Source organism: Homo sapiens, chromosome 17 (assembly GCF_000001405.40).
Source record: "Homo sapiens chromosome 17, GRCh38.p14 Primary Assembly".
Lineage (NCBI taxonomy): Eukaryota > Metazoa > Chordata > Mammalia > Primates > Hominidae > Homo > Homo sapiens.
The window spans coordinates 50,409,621-50,436,305 of NC_000017.11; the positions used below are offsets into that span (position 1 = coordinate 50,409,621).

Here is a 26,685-nt window from a genome sequence, read left to right on the forward strand (position 1 = left end):
CCCAGGAGGTGGAGATTGCAGTGAGCCAAGATCGTGCCACTGCCCTCCAGCCTGAGTGACAGAGCAAGATTCTGTCTCAAGAAAAAAAAGTCAAATCCATCAACAAATGAGTGGTTGAAAAACTGAGAATGTATTTATACAATGGAACATTACTGTGGAAAATTATGCAGCCATTAAAGAGAATGACTAGGAACTGTATGTATTGATCTGGAAAAAAATGTTTATTGCATATGGTCAAGTAAAAACATGCAAGTCATTGAGTATGGTACATGGCCTGATCTCATTTTTTAGAAACAGAATTTCATTTTGACATTATTTCAGATTTACAGAAAAGTTGTAAGAATAGAAAGAATTCCTGGAGCTGGGTGCGGTAGCTTACACCTGTAATCCCAGCACTTTGGGAAGCCAAAGCAGGAGAATCACTTGAGGCTAGGAGTTTGAGATCAACCTGGGCAACATGGCAAGACCCCATCTCTATTATAAAAATAAAATAAAATAAAAATAATTTCTGTGTACTTTTTTTTTCTTTTTTTGGAGACGGTGTCTTGCTCTGTCGCCAAGGCTGGAGTGCAATGGCGCAATCTCGGCTCACCGTAACCTCCGCCTTCCAGGTTCAAGCAATTCTCCTGCCTCAGCCTCCTGAGTAGCTGGAATTACAGGCGGGCGCTCCATGCCCGGCTAATTTTGTATTTTTAGTAGAGACGAGGTTTCTCCATGTTGGTCAGGCTGGTCTCAAACTCTCGACCTCAGGTGATCCACCGGTCTCGGCTTCCCAAGGTACCAGGATTACAGATGTGAGCCACTGCGGCTGGCCCTCCTGTGTACTCTTTACCCAGATCTCCCATTTGCCATTTCACTACAGTTGCTTTATCCTTCTGTCTCTCTGTCTACACACACACACAGACACACACACATACACACACACACACACAATTTCTAAACTGTTTGAGTATGTTGCAGATATGATGCCCTTTTATCACTAAATATATCAATTTTTTTTCTAAGTACAAGGAAATATATAACCACAGGGCAATTGTAAAAATCAACAAATTCACACTGATCAATACTACTCTCTAATCTATAGACTTTATTCTGATTCTATTAATTGTCCAGCATGATTTTTTTTTTGTAATAATAGCCAGATTTAATGGCTTATGCCTGTAGTCCCAGCTACTCGAGAGGCTGAGGCAGAGAATGGCTTGAGTCCAGGAGTTTAAGTTCAGCCTGGGCAGCATAGCAACTCTTCTTCTCTTAAAAGAGAAAATAAAAATTATATATATAATATTAACAGAGATATGATATATTAATATATAACATATAATAATATATATAATATTCCTAGGCTCAATATATATGAGCCTAGGAAAATGTATAGATGAATATCCATACTTTTTAACCTAGTTAACCTTAAAAATTTGCTAAAATCAGCCTTATAACTTTTGTAATAAATTATAATATAGAAAAGTTTATTACAAATAAATAAGCAATGAATGAATGAATAAATAAAATCATCATATGTTGAGATGGAACTGAGATCAAATCTGGTTCTACCAACTTTGGACACATTACCTAATCTCTCCAAGCCTGGATTCCTCAATCATAAATCTCCACCTATAGAAGAAACTATTTTGTTTGTTTATTTATTTTTTTACAGACGGAGTCTTGCTCTGTTATCCAGGCTGGAGTGCAGTGGTGTGATCTCGGCTCACTGCAACCTCCACCACCCAGATTCATGCGATTCTCCTGCCTCCACCTCCAAGTAGCTGGGATTACAGATGCATGCCACCATGCCTGGCTAATTTTTGCATTTATGGTAGAGATGGGATTTCACCATGTGGCCAGGTTGGTCTCAAACTCCTGACCTCAAGTGATCTGCTCACCTCAGCCTTCCAAAGTGCTCAGATTACAGATGTGAGCCACTGAGCCCAGCCTCTTCTTGTTTGTTGGTTGGTTTTGAGACAGGGACTTGGTCTGTTGCCCAGGCTAAAGTGCAGTGGTGGCGTGATCAGGTGACTGTAACTTTTTTTCTTTTTTTTTTTTTAAATAGAGACGGAGTTTCATCATGGTGCCCCTGCTGGTCTTGAACTCTTGGGCTCAAGTGATCTGCCCGTCTCAGTCTCCCAAAGTGCTGGGATTATAGGCCTGAGCCATGGCACCCAGCCAGCTCACTGTAACTTCAAACGCCTTTGTTCAAGGTTTCTCCCACTTCAGCCTCCTGAGTAGCTGGGACTACAGGCGTGCACCACCACGCCCAGCTAGAAGCTATTTTTTCATAAGGATTAAATGAGTTCTTAGTCCATAGAAGGCACTCAAAAAAATCATTCCTGTAAAACCGTTCATCTCTTCCTTATTCCTGCCTTCTCCCCTCTGTTCATTCCATTTGGAATGTCCTCTCCTTCCTCCCTTTCCATGGTCACCATCCTTTTCATCCTTCAAAGTCCAGTCCAAATACCACCTCCTCTAAGAAGTCTTACCTGATCACCCTGACCAAAAGTGAGCCATTCTTCTGATGCCCATAGCACTATGTCCCGCTTTGCATTAGTTGTTGGCATGGGTAGCAGTGATAGCAGAGGAGCTCAAGAGGAGTCTGCTGGGGGTTTCCAGAGAAAGGCTTTCCTTGCTCATCAAAGGCATGCCAAGACCATGAGGGAAGGCACTACCTACTTCAAAAAAATAAAACAAGGAAGACAGAGGGAGATCCGACAGAGAAGAGGAGGAAATGTGAGCACAGATGCAGAGATTGGAGTGATGTGGCAACAAGCCAAAGAACAACTGGAGTCACTAGGTGCTGTAAGAGACAAAGAATGGATTCTTCTCTGGTTCCCCTCTAAGGAACTAGCCCTGCCAACACCTTGATTTTATTTATTTATTTAATTTTGTTTAAGACAGAGTCTCACTTTATTGCCCAGGCTGGAGTGCAGTGGTGTGACTGATCTCTGCCCACTGCAACCTCTGCCTCCCGGCTTCAAGCGATTCTTGTACCTTAGCTTCCCGAGGAGCTGAGATTACAGGTGTGTGCCACCATGCCCAGCTAATTTTTATATTTTTAATAGAGATGGAGCATTGCTGTAGCAGGACAAGCCACAAACAAAACCCCTCAGACACTGAGTTAAAGAAGGAAGGGCTTTATTCGGCCAGGAGCTTCAGCAAGAGTCATGTCTCCAATGACCGAGCTCTCCAAGTGAGCAATTCCTGTCCCTTTTAAGGGCTCACAACTCTAAGTGGGTCCACATGAGAGGGTCGTGATTGATTGAGCAAGCAGGGGGTATGTGACTGGGTGCTGCATGCACTGGTAATTAGAACAGAACAGAACAGGACAGGGATTTTCACAGTGCTTTTCTATATAATGTCTGTAATCTATAGATAACATAACCAATTAAGTCAGGGGTCAATCTTTAACTACCAGGCCCAGGGTGTGGTGCCGGGCTGTCTGCCTGTGGATTTCATTTCTGCCTTTTAGTTTTTACTTCTTCTTTCTTTGGAGGCAGAAATTGGGCATAAGACAATATGAGGGGTGGTCTCCTCCCTTATTCCCCCCCTTTGATAATCTCACTCAATAGTGGGAGTTCTCACTTTCATTTTTATTACCTATGTCTTCTTGCAAGACAGATCGATAGTAATTCATATAGTACACTTGTGCTGAAGCATTTTGGTGAACTAAGGTAGTGATGAAGCTTTTTATCATTTGAAGAAGTACAGGTAGCAAACAAGGGAGCAGCAAGTAGGTTTCTATTACTATTATAACTCTTATTACAAGAGTTTTAAATCTTCTTAATGCTGGGAACCATTTTCCAAACATGGCGTCAGGATCAAATCCATGCCACACTTGCACAGGCACATGTGCCAGTTTTGTCATATTTCTAACTATGTCTTCAACTACTTGCCCTTGATCATCTATGTGTAGGCAGCAATTAGTAGGGTTAAATTTCCTACAGACCCCTCCTTCAGCTGCTAGCAAGTAGTCGAGAGCTAATCTATTTTGATAGATAGCATTTCTCATCTGAGTTTCTTGCCAGGCCAGAATAGTCAAGGCCCTGCCAGTCTTATTAGTGATTATTTCTAAGACAACTTGTAACTGTGTGATTCGGTTGAGCACGTAAATGGGAGTCGGGTATCCCCACGAGCTGTCTTGTGCCTAAGTACCAGGCCTATAATATTGTATGATTCTCTCAGGGGGCCATTTATCATCTTTTTAATTTTCTAGTTATGCTTCTATTTTTGCGGGAAGCACAGACAGGGAAGCCCAGGAGTTCGCCTGTCTTTATGGGCAGTAGGAAGAAAGATGGTTTAATAGTGCCAGGAACACAACTACCTGCCCACTGGTCGGGTAATTTGGTATAAGCTCTATGCCCACATATCCAGTATAGTCCAGTGGGGGCTGTCCAGTCCCAGTGGGACTCCGGGTGGGTTCACACAGTTTGCAACTTCGGGAATTTACTAAATGGATTTTTCTTAGTGTGGTTTGAACTCCACTAGGTGGCTGTTTTTGTAGTATTATTATACAGTTTTTGCCCAAGGCAGCAGAGTCTTCCCACAGGAAGGGTGAAGTCCTTCCTTACTCTTGCTATACAGTATTGTCTAATGATTGAGGCTTTTAGGACCTAGAAGTTATCAGGGTGATTATTTTGAGCCAGGAATTCATCAGGAACTGGGTCTGTAGGTACTAATTCTCAGGCTTCCTATGGCCATTGATCTCCCATTACAGTTCCTCTACATATCTACATACATAACATGAAGTGACATTGAGAGACTGGGCTAAATGCTCAGCTAATTGCAAAAACAAATTTCTTGTTTTTCCTGGAATTTCTGGTACTGGCACAGTCAGTTTATCACAGAAGGTTTGAAATACTGGCTAAGGAGAGGGTTTATAAATTCCTCAAACCACGATATTTACTTGAGGATCCAGTCCAGCCCCATCGATTCCTAGGGTTACACACTTCCCTTTTTCCAGTGAGGATCAAGGGGGTTGGTTATTACCAATTCTAAGGTGTTACACTGACCACTGGCACAGGAAGGGCCAGTTTTCCCTTTCTGAAGGTGGACAGGATCCTTTTTATTTTTTATCCAAGTAGCCTAAATGACACAAGAACAGTATCCACATTATTTCCACATGGTCCTAATTCATGACAAATGTACTTATTTTCTTCTATACAGTCTCTTCCTTAATTAAGAGAATCACATCCTATTTCTAACTTATTACTATTAATGACAGCGCAGGCATCAAACTTTAAGGTGACTTGTTTGGGCACCCCTTTTTCTTTTGTTTTGGCTGACACCTTACTCGTATCATTTATGAGCCTTCACCAGTCCTCAGTCCTTAATCTTATTTCAAAAACTGTGGTCATGGGAGGCTCAGATGGGTCATAACACACACGAGGTTGCTCATTTCCTGGGCTACATACCTTGCATAGAATAGCATTATACAAACATAGCATTATACAAACAAGTTTTTTTTTTAGAGTCCCAGTACACTTATAATAATCATAAAATAATAAGACTATAGCAACTTTTTGTCCTACCTCAGTGACTTGATGTATGCACTGGGAGCAGTCCCCAGTCTGAGGAAGGTCAGTTAAAGTCCTTACTGTACAAGTCCAAATTTTAAGGCAAATGAGTCCCATGATGAGTTTTCTCATGCTTCAGCTGTATGTGGACCAGTCAGCTTCCGGGTGTGAGTGGAGCAGGGCTTGTCGTCTTCTTCAGAGTCACTTTGCAGAGGTTGGCGAAGCTGCTCCCGTCTACGTACCGCTCACAGTCTACTGATGTTCAAGGATGGTTTTGGAGGTTGGGCCTGGTAGAATAAACTGAGTCCAACACCTCTACACAGTTATGTTCAACTGGGCTCTCTGATACCAGCAGCAAGGTGGCGGGGTTTAGGTTGTTGCAAACTTCAATGGTTATGCGAGGATTTTCACATAGCAAGCTTTGGTACTTGGTTAATCTAGCATTTGTTAACCAATGATGTCCTTTGGTAGTCATTAAAGTTACCACAGCATGGGTGGCCTGTATATTCAGGTTTTGCCCAAGGGTTAGTTTATCTGCTTCTTGTGCTAACACGGCTGTTGCTGCCAGGGCGCTTAAACATGGGGGCCAGCCTTTGGAAACCCCTTCTAGTTGTTTTGAGAAATAGGCCATTGGTCTTGGCCAGGGCCCCACAGCCTAGGTTAAAACTCCAACTGCCATTTTTTCTCTTTTTGACACATAGGGTGTAAAGGGTTTGTCAGGTCAGGTAGACCCCAGGCTGGGGCCGACATGAGTTTTTCTTTTAACTCATGAAAAGCTCGTTGCTGTTGGTTGTAATAGATGTAATTTATCCAATTTATATTTTTATTAACTGTCACCTACCAAAATATTGACTCAAATCCTGCAGCTATTTGATTTCAAGATTTAAATTGATCTGGTATTCTCCATAGGACTCCAGTTGTGTCTAAATCGACATGAGAGTCAAAAGACCCATAAGGGGCTTCTCTCGCTTTATGATGCCTTATTTTTTCTCCTTCTAGTTGATGAAATGCCAGGGTGAAAGGGATAGCCAATTGGACTAAAGTACAAGTGCCACTCCAGTTATTCGGCAGAGTGCCCAGTAAAGGTCCACCACAATACCACCACACATCTGCTCGGGGATGAACAAGGGCTGACTGATTGATAAGCTCTTGAAAATTTTTAAGCTCACTACATCCCTTCAGGTCTCTAAGGAATGCTAAGTTTCCTCCCTGTCATGAGAGACACGAAGTGAACTTAGTGTTGGGAGATGGAGGCTGGATGGCCCTTGGGGGCTGACCCGCTGACCGCAGGGTGCCAGATATAGCAGAGAGAGCTTGGCACGACTTATTACTCCAGACTGTAGAATCCTGGAAAAGAGCTACCAGGCAGCCCATGCCTGGTCGACTGGAGGACCACCTTAGCAGAAAGGGAACAATCTGGGCCTCTGGCCTGCCATGTGCACAAGCATAACAATTGCTTTTGTTTAACATGTGGATGGAAAATTTGATCCATTCCAATGAGGCATTTGCATCCTGGTATGCTGTCTTAATTGCCAAAGTTTGTTTTAAGTCTTTAACTTCTATGATCCTCTAGTAAAATGAGTGTATGATTTTGGGAAATTACACAAACCGGTTGGGGCAGTCCATCCTTGCTCTTTAGTGGTCCACAGAATGTTGGACCAACTACGGCATAAAAGCTCTACATTGGGGAGCAAGACTCCTGGTTGACACTGGAGTCTTTATCGAAATTTCCCCAGATTAAATGGTCCTAATTTACTAATGCCCAGTCTGAGGGGAGTCAGGAGGGACAGAGGTACTTTTCTGAAGTAGAGAGCTGTCTTTGACTTGGCAAGTCCCCACAGGGTATAACAAGGCAAACATTAAATGCAATAGTTTGAGGCTAAATCGACTTGGTTATGTTAATAACCAGATGGTCAGCAATAGAGCAAGAAAAGAAGAAAGAGTAATAGAATAGATGAATGAGTTAAATTTTTCTTAGCTTTAGTTTGGTAGGGTTTTCCCCTGGGACAGTGGCCCACGACTCTGGAGGGGGTGGCGCTTTGACTCGGGTGTGATGAGTCCATCCCTTTTTCGCTGTATGAACAGCAGTCTCAGAGGTTAACAGCACAAGGTAGGGTCCTTCCTAGGCTAGCCTGAGTTTTTCTTCTTTCCACCCTTTGATAAGAAAGTGATCTTCAGGCTGGTGCTGGTTTACTGGAAATTCTAGGGGTGGTACCTGTGCTAAAAGACTTTTAGTTTTGAGGGAAAGGAAAGTGGAAGATAAACCAAGTATATAATTTCTAAGAAATTGACTTTTTGTTGTAAATGTGGGGACATCAACAGTGGACTTTATAGTCTTTGGTGACTTCTTACTGAGAAATTTCCTTTAGCACCTATTTGTATTAGTTTTTAGACCAAAGAAAGCCAAACACCATTTTATATTTAATAATGCTTCTTGTATGATTTTTATACTAGATAAACTAAATTTCACCTTTATATTAGTGTGCTATTAATGTTAAATTTAGTTTTAATAAAACTTTGTATACATATTTATTCAATTTTTAATGTCGGACCATAAGGTAAGATTTTTATAGACTCTTTTTAACCTTTTATAATTTTTGTTAAAGAGCAGGTTAGTGCTTTAAGAAAAACCAGTTGTGTTTTTACTTTAATGTCCAGTTCACAGAAAAACTGAATGATACCCCTTTAACTTTAGCTAATATGCTTACACACAGGATTTTCTTTACAATTAACGTTTTAAAACTTGCTTAAACCTTCAAAACAAAATTTTTTTAACCTTTTAATGTAGGTAAAAATTTACATTCTTATGCCTCCTTATAATCCTTTTACCAAAGGTATATTTTACTTTCCTTATACACCTTGCACATAAACTTTTTTTTTCAATAGTTTTACATTCAGAAGGCCTAGTTACCTTTAAATTATACAACATTTCTTGCATAATTTTTTTAACATTTTTTTCTTTCACGACTTTTGCAGACAATTCTTTGACATGTCTTAACTTTCTGACTTATTACAAACATTTTTTTAAAAACAATCAGTTAATTTATTTCAGGACAAGAGTTTACCATATAACACTCTTTTTACATAAATTCTGCCCCCTCTTTTTTTCCCTTTTTTTTTCGAAGATGATAATCATTCTTTTCCAAAGCGAACTTCTTTTATGTCTGTGGACTAGACTAAGGCCACAAGATTAGAAGTTACTATAATACATATTACACTGTTAACTTTTAGCAAACTTTACTTTTGTTGAAAACCTTGTAAGTTTGGGATTTTAATTATCCTTTGCTATTAATAAGACCTTGTTTTGTCCAAATTAACTTAGAATTGGTATAGATGGCTTTTTTTTTTTCCTTCAATTACCTGGGAGGAAACATCCATCATCCTGTCCTGAAGGGAGTTCCTCCTAGGTCTGGTTGGACCTTTGTATGGTAATTAAGATTTAGATCCCCTGTTAGGAAACCTGCTGGGTTAAGGGAATTTTCAGTGGTTAATGTTAAATCATCCTTTTTTTTTTTTTTTTTTCCTTAGGATACTTCTGAACTGGTGAGGTGTGCTCACAAGGAGGTTTCCTCTAAAAGTTATTTTTTTTACTTTTTTCTGTTAGCAAAGCAGTTACCGCTACAGATTGAATGCATTTGGGCCATCCGCGGGTTACTGGGTTAAGGATTTTTGATAGGAAGGCCTCAGTGCTTTCAGGATACACCCTTGTTTACACTGACAGCGAAGTGGTATTGGAGTGTTACAGGGTTACAGAGAATACCTTCAATTATCAATTATAGGTTTTAAATTTACCTTGGCTTTTAAAGGACTAGGGTACACTGTTTTTTTTCTTAACTGCTTGTATATCTCTTTCTTTCTCTCTTTGATTTTCTATCTCTTTTTCTCTTTGACTTTTCTTTTGCGTCTCTTTCTCTCTGCCTCTCTCTTTCTATCTCTCTCTCTCCTTCCTTGACTCCCTCTTTGTCTCTCTCTCTTCCTCTTTCTCTCTCTGCTGGTCTTTCCTTGCCTCTGCCAGCTGCTTATGCTGCTGTTCTTTCAACCACTGTGGGGAGGTGGGGGTTCTAAAACCAGCTGTAACCAAGTGTCTATGTATGGGAACTGGTCTGGGTGCCCTGGCTGACAGGTTACCTTGTGCCATACCTTTGAAACAAGGGACCTGTCCAGGCTTCCTTCTGATGGCCAACCCACCTCTAATGCTGGCCAGACTATCTTCCACAAAGTTTTAAGTTTTCATGGTGTCATAGTACTCCATAGTCTCCCTTAAATCCTTTCTTGAAAATTTTCAACATAGTTCCTAGTGGGGTGGGCTTACTTTGTGCCTGACCCATGCTTCTTCAAGACAAAACACCATACTCACACCAAACGCACACCACAAAACAAAGAACAGGTAAAAAGGACACCCACACACTTTTACAGTTTACACCAAACCAGAATCAAAAACAAAATCAGAGTATCAAGAAATCCAAGCCAGGTCAAAACCAAAACCAAACCAACGTACCAAGCAATCCAAGTCAAGTCAAAAACAAAAACCAAAGTGCCGGTACAGGCACACTGTGGGTGATCAGGCCACGCTTCCACTCAAATGGAGTGGGCAAGTTCCAAAGACTAGTCTTACCAAGTTTCAGATGTCTGGACTCCAAGTGCCAGTTCCTTCCTGGTGTTCAGCCACTGCGTTGATCCTCCATGGGGGCCTGCCACATGCTGCTCTGGCAAGGCGTTCCACCGGGGCAATTGCTTACCTGGGATCGCTCTCAGGATCCGCATCGCTCAAGCTGGCTGGAGTCCCCCGCAGGGATGCTCCACAGGGCAGGCCTAAGCCACCTAAGGGGCTGCCTCAACCATCCATTCATCACCATGCTTCCCGGTCAGGGAACCAAGAAATGAAGCGTGACAAGCTGCAGACAAAACCCCTCAGACACTGAGTTAAAGAAGGAAGGGCTTTATTCGGCTGGGAGCTTCGGCAAGACTCACGTCTCCAACAACCGAGCTCTCCAAGTGAGCAATTCCTGTCCCTTTTAAGGGCTCACAACTCTAAGGAGGTCCACGTGAGAGGGTCATGATCGATTGAGCAAGCAGGGGGTACGTGACTGGGGGCTGCATGTACCAGTAATTAGAACGGAACAGAACAGGACAGGGATTTTCACAGTGCTTTTCTATACAATGTCTGTAATCTATAGATAATATGACCAATTAGGTCAGGGGTCGATCTTTAACTACCAGGCCCAGGTGTGGCGCTGGGCTGTCTGCTTGTGGATTTCATTTTTGCCTTTTAGTTTTTATTTCTTCTTTCTTTGGAGGCAGAAATTGGGCATAAGACAATATGAGGGGTGGTCTCCTCCCTTATCGCCATGTTGACCAAGCTGGTCTCAAACTCCTGACCTTGGCCTCCCAAATTGCTGGGATTACAGGCATGAGCCACCGCGCCCAGCCCAACACTTTAATTTTAATTGCGTAAGACTCTCTTCAGACTTCTGGCCTCCAGAACTGTAAGACAATAAATTTCTGGGGTTTTAAGCCACTACATGTGTGCAATTTGTTCCAGCAGCAATAGGAAACTGACGCACTGCTTCTTTCTCAGGACTAGATGCAAACCTCCAGGAGGCCTTCTGCAACACACCTTGGGTAGGTGCCTCTCCCCTAGCCTTGCTCACACAGCACTGGCCGCACTGCAGGCCATTGTCAGTCTCAGGGTTGGTGTTTTCTCCTAGACAGTGAGCTCATTGAGAGCAGACACCATGTCTCATTCATATCATGCTTGTCAGCAAGTAGTTACTCAATGAATGAATGCTGAACCAATGAATAAAAAAAGAAAGTTAAATTAGATTTGGTTTAACACTGGGTCTTTATCCAAGACTTCACAGTTGACTTTAGTTCTTGACTTTGACCCAAGAAAAGTAAAATATTACACCATCCAAATAAAGATTTTTGTCCTATCCTCTTACAAAAGCAAGGCTTTCACAGTTTTTTTGGCAGTTGCTGGGATTATGGCTTAGTTTTCAATTTGGGGATGTAAGCAAGAAAATACTGATCATTTAAAAACATGTCTGCCTGTGCCTGCAGCAATTGTTAGTCGTGATCGAGATAATTTTACTCAGCTGGGTGTGGTGGCTCTTGCTTGTGAATCCCAGCTCTTTGGGAGGCTGAAGCAGGAGGATCACTTGAGCCCAGGAGATCAAAATCAGCCTGGGCAACACATTGAGATCCTCATCTCTACAAAAAAAGAAAAATTAGCCCAGTGTGGTGGCATGCGCCTGTAATCCCAGCTACTCAGGAGGCTGAGGTGGGAGGATCACTTGACCCCAGGAGTTCAAGGCTGCAGTGAGCTATGATTGCCCTACTGCACCACTCCAGCTCCAGCCCAAGTGAGAGTGAGACAGTCTCTTAAAAAAAAAAAAAAAAAAAAAGATAACTAAAAGATAATTTGACTCTACACAGCAGTTCAAATCAAGTTCCTTATTTTCACTTTCAGTTTGAGAGTTTGAGAATGAGAAACATCCGTGTTTAGAACAATTTTTATTAGCCTTTTTTTTTATATTGGCTACTGGATCTAATTGGCTTGATTAGCAGAATATACACATTCTGTTCCAAGTCATTTCAATATCTTTGAAAATTGAAACTTCCTTCCTCAACTTCCTCTCCCCTTTTCTTTCTGTGGCTGCCAGCGGTCTCTCTTTTTTTTCCACCTCTCCTTCATGATCACTGCATTTCTTATTAGACAGCTCAGTTCTCAAACACACAGTGAAGGAAATTCTTTAAAAGGGCCATTTTTTATTTACTACTTGGAGACAGTCAATTACAACAGAGAGCTATGAAAAATTACACCAGAGAAAAGGGATTTGCTCAAGGTCATTGACAGAAAAAGCACTAGGGCTGGATTCTTTCCAGATCTGACACTGAAGTTGATTCCAAGCCTAAGTAACCTCTTTGCACTCATTTTTTTTACAGTGAAAACCTCATCAAACACATTAGTTCCTGTAACTGATTGAAGCCTCCCTCAGGCATGTTAATAAAAAATTTTATTAAGAGAAATAATATACACCATCTTAGAAAATAATATAAGAAAACAGCTTTTTTTTTTTTTTTTTTTTTTTCCGAGACTGAGTCTTGCTCTGTCGCCCAGGCTGGAGTGCAATGGTGCCACCTTGGCTCACTGCAAGCTCTGCCTCCCGGGTTCACGCCATTCCCCTGCCTCAGCCTCCTGGGTAGCTGGGACTACAGGCGCCCGCCACCACGCCTGGCTAATTTTTTATATTTTTAGTAGAGACAGGGTTTCACTGTGTTAGCCAGGATGGTCTAGATCTCCTGACCTCATGATCCGCCTGACTCGGCCTCCCAAAGTGCTGGGATTACAGGTGTGAGCCACCGCACCAGGCCAAAAAGAGCTTTTTTAACAAAAGCCTGTTCTCTGCCCTCACTCTTCCTCCCACTGCTATGCCCCAAAGAAAAGCTTTTTTAAAAGTTGTGGAAAAATAGACATAAATAAAATATATCATTTTAGCCATTTTTAAGGTTATGGTTCAGTGGCATTAAGTATATTCACATTGGTATACAACCATTACCACCATTCATCTCCAAAAACCTTTCACCTTCCTAAACTGAAACTCTATACCCATTAAACAAATAATAACTCCCCATTCCCCCACCACACCCCCAACCCCTGGCAACCACCATTCCACTTTGTCTCTAAGAATTTGACTACTCTAGGTGTCGCATATGAATGGAATCATACAGTATTTATTCTTTTGTGTTTGGCTTATTTCACTTAGCACAATGTGTTCAAAGTTCATGTGGACTGTAGCATGTGTGGGAATTTCCTTCCTTTTTTGAAAGCTGAATAGTATTCCATTGTATGGATCTACTGCATTTGTTTATCCATTCAATCATTGATGAATATTTGGGTTGTGTCTGTCTTTTGGCTATTGGGAACAATTCTGTTGTGAACATTGGTACACAAATGTTTGTTGGAGTCCCGACTTTCAATTATTTTGGGTATATACCCAGAAGTAGAATTGCTGGATCATATAACTCATTTTTAATTTTTTGAGGAAGCACCATACCATCCACTGTGGTGGCCCCATTTTACATTCCCACCACCCAATGCACACGTGTCCAGTCTCTCCACAACCCCACCAATACTTGTTATTTTCTGTTTTTTTGCGGGTGTTCTTTTTTTTTTTTTGAGACAGGGTCTTGCTCTGTCACCCAGGCAGGAGTGCAGTGGTGTGATCTCAGCTCACCGCAGCCTCAAACTCTTGGGGTCAATATATACATACATACATACATATATATATTTATTTGGTGAAATATCTATTTAAGTCCAAAGAGAATCATTTGAACTATTGTAACGATTTCTGATTTATCTTCTTCTGCTACTTGCCTCTAAATGACATACTTATTTTGCCAGTTTTAGATTTTCTGTTTGATAAATGGGTACTTGCACCCCATCTCTCCTCCCTAAGTGCTGGTACTATAGTTTTATTATTATTTTTGTACATAATGACATACCCTTTTTTTTTATTTTATACTCTCCCCCACCCCTTCCCTCTCAACTACTATCAGATGTAACTTCCAAAGTTAGTGATACTTACATTTACATTCTATTCTGTAACTGTGACTAGGTCTTCTGTAGGTTGATGTTATGAAAGAAAAAAAATCAATAAATGGTGTTTACATTTTGAGCCTGCTTTTGAAGCACAGAAGCAAGACATGGGCAAAGGGGCGGGAATAAGGGCTTTCTCATGGTAGCCAATGGCATGAGCCAAATTACAGGGACCATAAATCATGCAAGTCACATGCAGCATAAAGGAGATGTGATGGCTCAGGCAGAAGGCCCCTTGGGGAGCAACGGGGAATTTAATTGGTTAAAGGGAAGGGAAGGGAAGCTGGAGAGCCTGGATGGCCCACTGCCCTGCTCCCCACTTCCTTATACTAGCCAAAGAATGCGGGTCAACGTGATTCCCCCACCATGACTCACGGACTTCCACCAGCCGTCTTGACTTTCTCCCAGCCCTCCTCCCCATCCACAGAACCAGTGCCTACCAGGGCTTTGCACAAATAAAACAATTCTCCCTCCTAAAAAAGGTTTGCAATTCCTACACAGAGGAAGGTCTTAGAGTGAAGACACAAGAGGAAGGAGAGGATGGAAAAAGAAACAATCACTGAAAACTGGCCGACTACCAGTTCTGTGCCACCTACTCAATTCTTACCCAGCCCTCTGCGTGAAGTTGGTATTATTATCCCCATTTGACAGATAACGAGGCTGGAGAGGCCCCGTGACTTGCCCAAAGCCACAAAGAGACTACTGGCAGAGCTTTGGCCTATGTTTAAGAAGCTGAACCTCTTTGGGATTCAGTTTCTTCATCCATAAAAACAAAGACACATTCCAAGCCATGCCTGTTCCTTGCAGGGTGTTTGTGAGGGTCAGAGAAAATGTCCTTGAAGAGCCTGGCATGTACAAGATACCCTGAAACTGATGGCTATGATGCCACGGCCTGTGCACCTAGGAAGAGTCAGGAAAGCCCAGTGTCTTGAAAAGCCGAGGCTGGAGCAAAGTTCAAGGAGGAACTCACTTCTCTCCCACTCTAGGACTGACCCTCAAACTAGCCAGAAGAGTGGAAGGACCTACAAGATCAGTACCCACCCCACACTTCATAGGCCAAGAGAGGGACAGTGGTTTACCCAGGGTCACCCAGCATGCTAGAGGCTAAGCCTGCCAGCCACGGCTGGGAACCCAGACTTGTGAATGCCCCAGCCCTCCACATTCCCTGGTCCGCTATCAAAGACAGTTAGTCTAATTAGGAAAGCACACCCTTGCAGGCCCAGCCTCCGGTGATCTCTTTGTTCCTCTGTCTCTTCCTGCCCCAACCCCACAGAAACTGAAGTGTGGGGACCCTCCCTAGGAACCGGGGTTCCAGGGAGGATTTGAGGTCACGCTCAAGATCATAAAGAGGCCCAGCATGGACTCCTTCTCATGACCCAAGTGGAGCCAGAGTTCCCAGATAAGGGCAAAGGTCACCTCAGGCCAGGCTCCACTCTCAGCCACCCCTTCTGCCTGGCAGGGTTTACTTCATCTCCTCCAGTCAGGAGAGGGGAGGTCACACTGCCAGGGCCTTTGCCCCATTCTTCTCCAGCTCCTTCTCTAGAGGAAGAGTCATGGCTAGGCCGAGGCAGTGTGGACCTGGAACAGGTATAAACTGTGCTACTCTTTGGTGCCCAGTGCCACTTTTCCTAGCCAGGACCAGAGCTATCACCTTCTCTGTCCCGCAGCTCTGCCCAGGTCTTAGTACCCCACTCACCCCTGGGCCTCAGGAACCCTAAGGAGGGGCATAGGGTTGCTTTCCATTCACACCTGGGGCAGCACAGGGAACTGTGCCACAGGCCCCAAGACAGGCAGATGGAGGATGAAATACACAGGTCCCAGTCCCTGAGGCCACCTTACGTGTCCGGCCCCCAACCCTGTGCAGAAGGTCAAGGCAGAGGCGCCGAGGAGGGATGGGAGGATGCCTCCTGTGAGATGGGGTACAACTGGTGTTCCTTCTGAAGCTGACATCTGGCCTCAGCTGGGACTCTGGCGCCAGCGGGCCCGCAGGGGGCTCACCCGCGACACCCTTTGTTCTGGCTGCCTCCCCAACCCCGCGGGGCCCTCTGCTCCAGCTGGCATGCCTCAAGGACGCTTCGCGCCTGCTCCTTTGGCCCCCGGCTCGCAAGTAGCGGGGCCAGCACGTGACCCGAGGGGGCAGGGGATGGATGGATCTTGACCTTGCCATCTGGCCCCTCACGGATGTGCTGCTGGCTCTCCCTCTAGGAAATCAACAAATTTTTGCGCTTCTAACATCCAGGCCCCTGAGGATGGTCGCGAGGAAGATCTGTTTCGGACTGCAGCTGGGGCCTTCGGATCCAGAGGAAACCAGGGCTATTCTTCGAGGGTGGGAGGGGGAGGGCCGCGGGGTCGGAGGGGAAGGTGGCCCCGCGCGAAGTCGCCGCCGCCGCGCCCCGCCCCGCCCCGCCGGCGGAGACCGAATCCGCCGCACCCCATAGGCAGAGGCCACCCTCCCCGCCTCCCCGCCCGCTGCGCGCCCGCCCCGCCCCGGCTCACTTTAAAAGTTTACTCGGGCCGGGACGCAGGGCAAAGCGAGCCATGGCTGTCTACGTCGGGATGCTGCGCCTGGGGAGGCTGTGCGCCGGGAGCTCGGGGGTGCTGGGGGCCCGGGCCGCCCTCTCTCGGAGTTGGCAGGAAGCCAGGTTGCAGGGTGTCCGCTTCCTCAGGTACTGGCCCCCCGCGGGAAGAGAGGGGGCGGGGCAGTTCCCCGGGAGAGGAACTTGGAGGTCCCGGCGAGCTTCGGAAGCCCCACCTCTGGACGAGTGCACTGGGGGGAAGGTACCCGCCCCTCCCCCGCCCCCCGCCAGCACCTAGGCAATAGGAAAAGCTGGCTTGGCCTGGTGGACTTGGGTGGGGAGGGGGCTTTGGTTGGTGGCTGCAGTGACTTCGAGTTCTGGTCCAAGACTCTCGATTCCTTCTCCTTTATGGGCACAGAGGGCAAGGAGTGTGGGCTTTAAGGAGAATATTCCGATGGGGAGGGGCAAGGGCCAAGGCCTGGGCTGTACCCCCAGGACACTGCCTCTGAGTTGGAACCCCTTCATGGGCAAACTTGGGGATCAGCCCCAGTCTCCCCGACCCAGGCCACTAAACTTAGCAGTCTCCTGTCTCCTCATCAGCTGCTCACTAACATGGCTTTAATTCTTTGCTGCCTACTCCTGGGCCTATTTCCTTCTGTCCTCAGTGCAAGGGGTGGGATGGAAGCTGGCAGGCAGAGGATTTCAGTTCCCAGTAGCTTCACTGCCTCTGCAGCAGCACAGTAAGTAAAGCTGCCTTCCCGGTGTGACCAGTCCTTGGGAGGACCCCGTGAGATGGCAAATGTGAAAGTGCTTGAGACACAGAGAGCAGGCTGCCACTCATGTTATCAGGGCTGTTAGCTTCAGCAGCACCACTGGGGAGCCCTGTGCACTACTGAGCCTGTCCTACCACTCAACTCGGCCAGATACTAAGTCTATGGTCAGGACAGCACTTTCAGCAACATCAGATGGGGTGTGGGCCTGGACATGGAAAAGGGAGAAGTCAGAACAAAGCTGTGTCTCAGAGAACTAGATTTGTTTTTGTTTTTAAAAAGGCTAAGTAGGAAGAGTTGGAGGGACATGCAGACTCCTTTTTGGCTAGAACTCCAAGATCACACTTTCTGAACTTGCTGATTTCTGAATGCTAGAAAGCATGCAATGCCTTAACATCACTCTGCCTAATTTGCTGAGAAAACTAAGTGGATCAAGGCTGGTCAGTAGATGGGATTGAGATGAGGACAGTGGGGTCCTCTTCCCAGTGACCCTGGGAAGTCACTCACTACTTCCCAGGGTCTCCCTAGACAAGTTCGGCCCTCCCCTGACCCCCTAGTCTCTTAAGCCTCTCCTCTGGACTCATGGCTGCCCCCTCAGGCTGGGAGGACTCTGAGGAAAGTTACTTCCCAAAGTGTACATATTTTATCACACTAAATCAGGCCACAGGGGAAGTCTCTCAGCCTACTCTGGCTCAGGAGGCTGCCCAATAGAAAACAAACAAACAAACCAATAAATAAGTAATAAATCAGGCCACATGGCAACATTTCTGACCTTTGACTTTTTTTTATCTATAAACAAAACAGGTCACTTACCTGCTACAGCCCTGGGACCTCTGAGAGCACCAAGCTTCAGAGAAATTCTTATTGCTGTGTCAGGAGGAGACTCATTTATCCAGACAGATGATTTTCTGAGTGTTTGGCCTACTTTCTTTCTGCCCCTTCCACTCCCTTGTGCCTGCACCCTTATTGTCTGACTGTGATGGTTTTACCTGATTTCTCTCCTACTTTCCCCTTCAGAAGCCTCAGGGCTCAGGCCAGGCAAGGTGGTTTATGCCTGTAATCTCAGCACTTTGGAAAGCAGAGGTGGTAGGATCACTTGAGCCCAGGAGTTCAAGGCTGCATTGAGCCGTCATCATGCCACTGCACTCTAGCCTGAGCAGCAGAGCAAAACCTAGACTCAAAAAATAAAAATAAAGGCTGGGTGGGTGGCTCATGCCTGTAATCCCAGCACTTTGGGAAGCCCAGGCAGGCAGATCACTTGAAGTCAGGAGACCGGTTTGGCCAACATGGTGAAACCCCGTTTCTACTAAAAATACAAAAATCAGCCGGGCGTGGTGGCATGTGCCTGTAATACCAGCTACTAGGGTGTCTGAGGCAGGAGAATTGCTCCAACCTGGGAGGCGGTGGTTGTAGTGAGCCAAGACTGCACCTCTGCACTCCAGCCTGGGTGACAGAGGGAGACTCCATGTCAAAAATAAATAAATAAAAATAAAGGCCAAGCATGGTGGCTTATGCCTGTAATCCCAGCACTTTGGGAGGCTGAGGTGGGCGGATCACTTGAGGTCAGGAGTTAGATCAGACTGGCCAACATGGAGAAACCCCATCTCTACTAAAAATATAAAATTAGCCTGGCGTGGTGGCACATGCCTGTAATCCCAGCTACTTGGGAGGCTGAGGCAGGAGAATTACTTGAACCTGGGAAGCGGAGGTTGCACTGAGCTGAGATTGCACCACTGCACTCCAGTCTGGGTGACAGAGAAAGACTTCATCTCAAAAAAATAAAAATAAAAATGAAAAAAGAAGCCTCAGGGCTGAAACCATCAGCAAACATTCCTGAGAACAGATTCTGCGTCATGCTAGCACATGCTGTGCATATAGAGGCCACAGAACTCAGTCCTCACCCTGCCAGGAACTTGCAGCCTCGTAGGAGGAGAAATAAATCAAGGTGAGCACTATTCGGTGTTGCAAGTGCCATGGTGAGGAATGCGCTTGGACTTTCGTCCTCTGTTTTCTCCGATCTGCTCACACACAGCCTGCTTTCCTGTTGCCCAACACCCAGGCCTATTACTTACCAGACCCTGGTTTTGCCTGAGAGAAAAGAGCAAGGGCTTTGAAGTTAGACTATCCTGGATGACAGCCCTGGGTCCTCTCCCTGTTGGTTGTATGACCTCGGGCATGTTATCTAACCTCTGAGCTAGTTAGTTCATTACTTACTACCTTCTTGCTGTGTTGTTGGGCTGATGAATAAAACAAGCTTGCTCTTGTTCTCAGCCTTTCCTTTGAGGCAGGGCTGATCCCTGGAAACCCTTGACTGGTGTCTGGGTGGGAATTCTGACTGATTTGAAAGTAGGAGAGGATCCCCTGATTGGTGGCCTCTTTCTGGAACCCAATTATTTCTCCTAGCTGATTGCCAAGATGGTGACTTCCACCCAGCTACATGTCCAGTCCTTGGGTCTGCTGGACGTCCTCCTCTCCGTTTGACGCAGGGCTGTTCAGAGTCTTTCTCTTTTTCTTTTTTTTTTATTTGAGGTGGAATTTCGCTCTTGTTGCCCCAGGCTGGAGTGCAATGGCATGATCTCAGGTCACTGTAACCTCCGCCTCCTGGGTTCAAGCAGTTCTCCTGCCTCAGCCTCCCAAGTAGCTGGGATTACCGGTGTGCGCCACCCGCCCAGCTAATTTTGTATTTTTAGTGGAGATGGGGTTTCACCATGTTGGTCAGACTAGTCTCAAACTCCTGAACTCAAGTAATCCACCTGCCTCAGCCTCCTAAAGTGCTGGGATTACAGGCGTGAGCCACCACGCCCGGCCCAGAGTCTTTCTCCCCAGAAGGAAAGAAAAAGCTGTCCTTTGCTCTCCAGAACTCCTCACGACCAACTCCTTCCCCCTATCTATGTGCCTCCTTCCCCAAAGAAGGTGGATGGCTTAGTCTGGGGCTTCAGTGAACCTCCAAGGAAGGAATTCAAGGAGAAACCTGGGCTGAGCAGGCTTCCCCCAGACCTGCCCTAAAGCTGGCCTGGGGCTGCCTATGAGGCAGCTGCATCCAGGGTGTTGAGAACACTCAGAGCTGGGAAGGCAGAGAGATCAGTGGCTAAAGCCTCTCAGAATTAGGTGTGGTGCTCAGAGCTGGGGATCCAGTGACTTGGTGCTGATGGTGGGGACAGAGGGGTAAGGGGGCTTTGTGGACCACCCTCCATGGGGATGGCTATGATCATATAAGACTGTGGACCTAAGGGAAAAATCTGAGGCCAAAGTAATATAAGTAGAGAGATTTATTTGGGCCATGTTTGCAGACTGCAACCGGGAGCATAGACTCAAGTTGCCCTGATTATATGATCTGATGAGCAGCAGTTACAAGTGGGTTTTTAAAAGAAAAGAAGGCTGGGTGCAGTGGCTCACACCTGTAATCCCGGCACTTTGGGAGGCCGAGGCAGGCAGATCACAAGGTCAGGAGTTCGAGACCAGCCTGGCCAATATGGTGAAACCCTGTCTCTACTAAAAATACAAAATTAGCTGGGCATGGTGGCGGGCGCCTGTAGTTTCAGCTACTTGGGAGGCTGAGGCAGGAGAATCGCTTAAACCCGGGAGGAGAAGGTTGCAGTGAGCCGAGATTGTGCCACTGCACTCCAACCTGGGCGACAGAGCGAGACTCTGTCTCTAAATAAATAAATAAATGAAAAGAAGAGACAGTTCCTAAGTGATTTACCAAGAATGTACATTAAAATGATATAAGCTATTGATTCATTATACTTTGTTCTTTGTATCACAAATTTTGTTAACATGAAAGTAATGGGTAAAGCAGCTAGTTAGGAGCAAAATGCCTTTAAACAATTGTCCCTGGGAAGGAAGGAGCATGACTGAAGTCTCATGTCTCTCTGGGCTTGACACATTTTGCATACATCACATAGCTCAGACAGCTGCTGAGCTATTTTTCTGTTCTTGTGACCAACAGTTTACACACACATGGAAAACTACAAAATGCTGTTTCTATACAAGCGCCTTGTATTAAGCCTGGAAGTGTTATGGGTGGTAACCATAAATAGTTACAAGAAATAGACTCTTCCCATAATTTCCAAAACATGATTTATGAATGATTTGGTAACGATATCCCTATGCATTCCACTGGGGATCCTCCAGTCTAAATGTAACAGTAGAAAATAACTATGAACTTGGCTGCTGGAATCAGTGAATGGTACACATCTGTTTTAGTTACCCTCCTCTGCTTTGAATGCTGTACATTGCTGCAGTGTACTGTGAAGCATGTAAAGGTAATAAAAAGATGAATGAGTTTGTTTTCATTGACAGAGCTGTTTTTCTAGAAGGAGTCTACAGGGGAAGTCCATAGACACACTGATTCAAGGCAGAAAGTTTGCAGTGCCATTAAAGATGTCAATCAAAGCAGGAGGAATCTGGTTTGTGGAAATGGGAGGGGGAGACTTCCCAAAGAGCCTGGGGTTAGAACCTGATCCCTGAAAGGTTAGGTCTGCAGTTTGAAGCCTTTGTACTTCCGTGAAATCTCACTTGTGCTTCAATCGTTGTGAACCCTGGTGCCATCATAGCTTGCTATAATCTCAAACTTCTGGGCTCAAGCATTCCTCCCATCTCAGCCTCCCAAGTAGCTAGGACTACAGGCAAGTGCCACCATACCCAGATCATTTTAAAATTTTTTGTAGAGATGGGGTTATGAAGTATTGCCCAGGTTGGTCTCAAACCCCTGCCTCAAGCCATCCTCCTGCCTTGGCCTCAAGTGCTGGGATTATAGGGGTGAGCTGCTGATCCCGGCCTCTATTTTACTTCAATCTACAGATGAAACTTTGGAGCCAGGCAGATCTGGATTCAAATGAACCACTTTCTAGCTGAGTAGTTTTTTTACTTAAGTTAAACTTGACTTTTTTTTTCTTTCTTTCTTTTTTTGGTGGAGACAAGGTCTCGCTCTGTCACCTAGGCTGAGTGCAGTGGCACGATCACAGCTCACTACAGCCTCGAACTCTTGAGTGATCCTCCTATCTCAGCCTCCCCAGTAGCTGGGACTACAGGCCTGCGTCACTACACCCAACTAATTTTTGTATTTTTTTGTAGAGATGGTGTTTTGCCATGTTGCCCAGGCTGGTCTTGAACTCCTGAGCTTAAGTTACCTGCCTGCCTCAGCCACCTCCCAAAGTGCTGGGATTACAGGTGTGAGCCACACGCCTGGCCTTGACTTTTCTTATGTATAAATAGTGCATTGTGAGGGTTAAATGAGGTCCCATAAGAAAATGCTTAACACACAGTTTGATGCCAAGGACATGTTCATCCCATTGCATGGGTCAGTGAGCAACCTGTCCTAGTGGTGAGCTATTTTACAGGAATGCTTGTGTAATGATGGCTTGGCCCATTCTTACAGTGACCCCAAGGCCCACAGTATAGTAACTGTGTCTGGGGAGTAGGAGGGAGAAGGTTCCAGCAGGGTAAACTACCTAAGCAAAGGTGGGGCTGCTGGAGATGGGTGGACAGGCCTGAGCTTATGCTGAAGATGGGAATAAAGCTGGTCATGCATTCAACAGGCCAACATGCAGGCTGTAATTTCATCTTCTGGGTTGGCCTTGCCATGGGACTGTTCTAATAACGAAGGGTAGGAACAATTCTGCCAGTGCCTCTCCCTTTAGAACTAAACATGTTGTATTTCTAGCTTACAAATCGTGCTTTATAAACCTCAGTGGCATGCATGTATTCCTCCATTTGGGAGTTAGTTGACGGGAAAGCAAATCCCAGTCCTACCAGTCCTAACTTAGTGTGGCTTTAGGCAAGTTACTGAACCTCCGCAGACCTTAGTTTGTTTGTAAAATAGGCTGTTTGGACAAGATGTGCTCTACCTTTGGGAGAAGATTCTGTGATTCCTAAAGAGGCTGGAGTTTGAGCCTGATCCCTAAACCCAATAAGGCTGTGATTTGAAGTATGCAGCCTTCATACGTGTGTGAAATTTCACTTGGTCTCTTATGAACCCTGAGTATGCAGCTTCCTAACCTGACATTCTGTAATTCTGTAGTCCCCTGAGCAAAAAGAAGCATCAAGTTTTGTTTTATACACACACACGCACACACACACTTAAATATGTTTTTCTTTTTCTTTTTTTTTTTTTTGAGACGGAGTCTCGCACTATCACCAGGCTGGAGTACAGTGGCGCGATCTGGGCTCACTGTAACCTCCGCCTCCTGGGTTCAGCAATTCTCCTGCCTCAGCCTCCCAAGTAGCTGGGATTACAGACACCTGCCACCACGCCCAGCTAATTTTTTGTATTTTTAGTGGAGATGGGGTTTCACTATGTTGGCCAGGCTGGTCTCAAACTCCTGACCTCGTGATCCGCCTGCCTTGGCCTTCCAAAATGCTGGGATTACTGGACTCAAACAATCCTACTTCCTCAGCCTCCTGAGTAGCTGGGATTACAAGCACAAACCACCATGTGCACCTGGCTACCTCAAAGGTTTTCTTCCTAGAAAACTAATATCTAGCCTTGTATGTATTTTAGTAATCCTATCAAGGGACAAGTGTCTTGACTCAGCCCCCATCCCTGATTCCTAGGCACTCTTCTCCTGGGGTCTCTGTCCAGCTATTCCAAAAGAAAACCTGCAGCATGGATGCCTCCTGACTCCAAGTATTTCAGGCTACTCTGTCACCTGGGATGGAGTGCAGTGGCGTGATCACGGCTCACTGTAGCCTTGACCTCCCAGTCTCAGGTGATGTGCCCACCTCTGCCTCCCAAATAGCTGGGATTACAGGTGTGTACCACCATGCCTTGCTAAATTTTTTGTATTTTGTTTTGGTAGAGACAGATTTCCACTTTGTTGCCCCAGGTGGTCTCAAACTGCTGGGCTCAAGCGATCCTCCCAACTCAGCCTCCCAAAGTGCTGGGATTACAGGTGTGACCCACCGCACTGGCCCTTCTATGTCTTCTTGAGAGAGTTTTCTAAACCCAAATTATCACTTCTTATGTATTTTCTGTACATACTTACAAACACACCAGTGGTTCCATTCAAGATGCTGAAAATGGGCCAGGCACAGTGGCTCACACCTATAACTCAGCACTTTGGGAGGCTGAGGTGGGAGGATCGCTTGAGCCCAGAAGTTTGAGACCAGCCTGGGCAACATAGGGAGACCCCATCTCTACAGATAATACTTTTTACAAATTAGTTGGGTGTGGTGGCATGTGCTTGTGGTTCCAGCTTCCTGGGGGACTGAGGCAGGAGGATTGCTTGAGCCCAGGAAGTCGAGGCTGCAGTGAGCCGTGATCATGCCACCACACTCTAGCCTCAGTGACAGGGTGAGAGCATGTCTCAAATAATAATAATAATAATAACAAAACAAGATGCTGAGAATGGAAGCTTCCACCAATATAGAGTATCTTGTTCAAAATCTTTACTGGGCTGGGTGCGGTGGCTCATGCCTGCAATCCCAGCACTTTGGGAGGCTGAGGCAGGTGGATCACCTGAGGTCAGGAGTTCAAGACCAGCCTGGCCAACATGACGAAAACCCATCTCTACTAAAAATACAAAATTAGCTGGGCATGGTGGCATGCACCTGTAATCCCAGCTACTCGGGAGGCTGAGGCAGGAGAATCTCTTGAACCCAGTGGGTGGAGGTTGCAGTGATCCGAGATAGCACCACCTCATTCCAGCCTGGGCAAAAGAGCAAAACTCCGTCTCAAAAAAATAATTTTTTTTTTTTTTACTGTAGTCCTTACTAGTCTTTGTAGTCGTTTGTAGTTTGTTCTTTGTAGTTGGTATTTTTCAGAGGTCACATACTCCTCAGGGTGGTTATGTCGAGTGGTAGAAAGATCATGGGGCTTTATGATATAATTACATACAGTAAACTGCACAGATCTTTTTTTTTTCTTTTTTTTATTTTGAGACAGAGTTTCACTGTTGTTGCCCAGGCTGGAGTGCAATGGCGCAATCTTGGCTCATCACAACCTCCGCCTCCCAGGTTCATGCGATTCTCCTGCCTCAGCCTCCCAAGTAGCTGGGATTACCCGCATGTGCCACCACGCCTGACTTATTTTGTATTTTTAGTAGAGATGGGATTTCTCCATGTTGGTCAAGCTGGTCTCAAACTCCCGACCTCAGGTGATTTGCCCGTCTCGGCCTCCCAAAGTGCTGGGATTACAGGCGTGAGCCACCGTGCCTGGCCTGTGTCTGGCTTTTTTTGCTCAGAAGCCAAGGAGTGCTTTTGGGAGGAGCAGCTCATTAACCTTGACAAAAACTCACAAAAGTGAGTTTTACGTATTAAACAGCTCAATGTTTCAGAGTTCTGTATGTATTCTAGTATTATTCCTTTGTCAGACATGTGGCTTACAAATGTTTTTCCCCACTTTGTAGCTTTTTTTCATCCTCTTAAAAGGGTCTTTTGCAGAGCAAAATTTTTTAATCCTTTTTTTTTTTTAATTTTTTGAGAAAGGCCTCACTCTGTCACCCTGGCTGGAGCACAGTGGTGCAACCACGGCTCAGTGCAGCCTCAACCTCCTGGGCTCAAGTGATCCTCCTGCCTCAGCCTTCCAAGTACGTAGGACTATGGGTACACGCCACAAAGCCCAGCTAATTTAAAAAATTTTTTCATAGAGATGGATGGCACTGTGTTGCCTAGGCTGGTCTCCAACTCCTGTGCTCAAGTGATTTTCCCACCTCAGCCTCCCAAAGTGCTAAGATTACTTTACAGACGTGAGCCACTATGCCCAGCCCATATAGCAATTTAAAAAAATTTTTTTATAAAGTCTAATTTATTAAGTCTAGTTTATAAAGTCTAGTTTAGTGAGTTTTTTTTTTTAGATGGGATCTCATTATGTTGCCCAGGCTGGTCTCCAACTCCTCGGTTCAAGCAATTCTCCTGCCTCAGCCTCCCAAGTAGCTAGGATTACAGGTGCATGCCACTGCACCCAGCGCTCAGTGAGTGTTTTTTTTTGTTGTTTGTTTGTTTTTAATGGATCTTGCTTTTGGTGTCAAGCCTAATAACTTTTTGCCTAGCTCTAGATCCAGAAGATTTTATAATTTTTTTTTACACTTAAGTCTGATTCATTTTATTTTTGCTTATATAGAATGTGAGACTTAGTCAGAGTTCATTTTTGTTGTTGTTGTTGTTGTTATTTTTTATTTTTTTTATTTTTTATTTTTCGAGACGGAGTCTCGCTCTGTTGCCCAGGCTGGAGTGCAGTGGCGCGATCTCGGCTCACTGCAACCTCCGCCTACCGGGTTCACGCCATTCTCCTGCCTCAGCCTCCCGAGTAGCTGGGACTACAGGCGCCTGCCACCACGCCTGGCTAATTTTTTGTA

At 45.3% G+C, this 26,685-nt stretch overlaps 1 protein-coding gene across 12 annotated transcripts in view, besides 5 other annotated features; it reads left to right on the forward strand.

Annotated features, from left to right (window-relative positions):
* Positions 2,648-2,942: a silencer, noted in NCBI's record as "tiled region #13074; HepG2 Repressive non-DNase unmatched - State 23:Low". NCBI's record gives its function as "represses a minimal TATA promoter and a strong SV40 promoter by Sharpr-MPRA in HepG2 cells {active_cell/tissue: HepG2}" and the evidence as "EXISTENCE:reporter gene assay evidence [ECO:0000049][PMID:27701403]".
* Positions 16,130-16,674: an enhancer, noted in NCBI's record as "H3K27ac-H3K4me1 hESC enhancer chr17:48503111-48503655 (GRCh37/hg19 assembly coordinates)". NCBI's record gives its function as "activates a minimal SCP1, AML or CMV promoter by ChIP-STARR-seq in primed H9 embryonic stem cells {active_cell/tissue: H9 hESC(primed)}" and the evidence as "EXISTENCE:reporter gene assay evidence [ECO:0000049][PMID:30033119]".
* Positions 16,130-16,730: a biological region, named in NCBI's record as "H3K27ac-H3K4me1 hESC enhancer GRCh37_chr17:48503111-48503655".
* Positions 16,411-16,730: a silencer, noted in NCBI's record as "silent region_8698". NCBI's record gives its function as "represses an Ori minimal core promoter by ATAC-STARR-seq in GM12878 lymphoblastoid cells {active_cell/tissue: GM12878}" and the evidence as "EXISTENCE:reporter gene assay evidence [ECO:0000049][PMID:35858748]".
* Positions 16,598-26,685, forward strand: part of ACSF2 (acyl-CoA synthetase family member 2) — a 48,628-nt gene continuing 38,540 nt past the window's right edge. For 11 of the 12 annotated variants that reach the window (XR_007065473.1, XR_007065474.1, XR_934566.4 and 8 more), the window contains exon 1: positions 16,598-16,769. Coding sequence is in view for 6 of the 12 variants with exons in the window: in NM_025149.6 (NP_079425.3) it covers positions 16,642-16,769 (128 nt within the window). In the remaining 6 variants the exon portion in view is untranslated. Of the gene's footprint in view, positions 16,770-17,284; positions 17,360-26,685 lie in introns of all 12 variants that reach the window. The other variant, NM_001288968.2, reaches the window with a different exon arrangement.
* Positions 21,630-22,325: an enhancer, noted in NCBI's record as "NANOG-H3K4me1 hESC enhancer chr17:48508611-48509306 (GRCh37/hg19 assembly coordinates)". NCBI's record gives its function as "activates a minimal SCP1, AML or CMV promoter by ChIP-STARR-seq in primed H9 embryonic stem cells {active_cell/tissue: H9 hESC(primed)}" and the evidence as "EXISTENCE:reporter gene assay evidence [ECO:0000049][PMID:30033119]".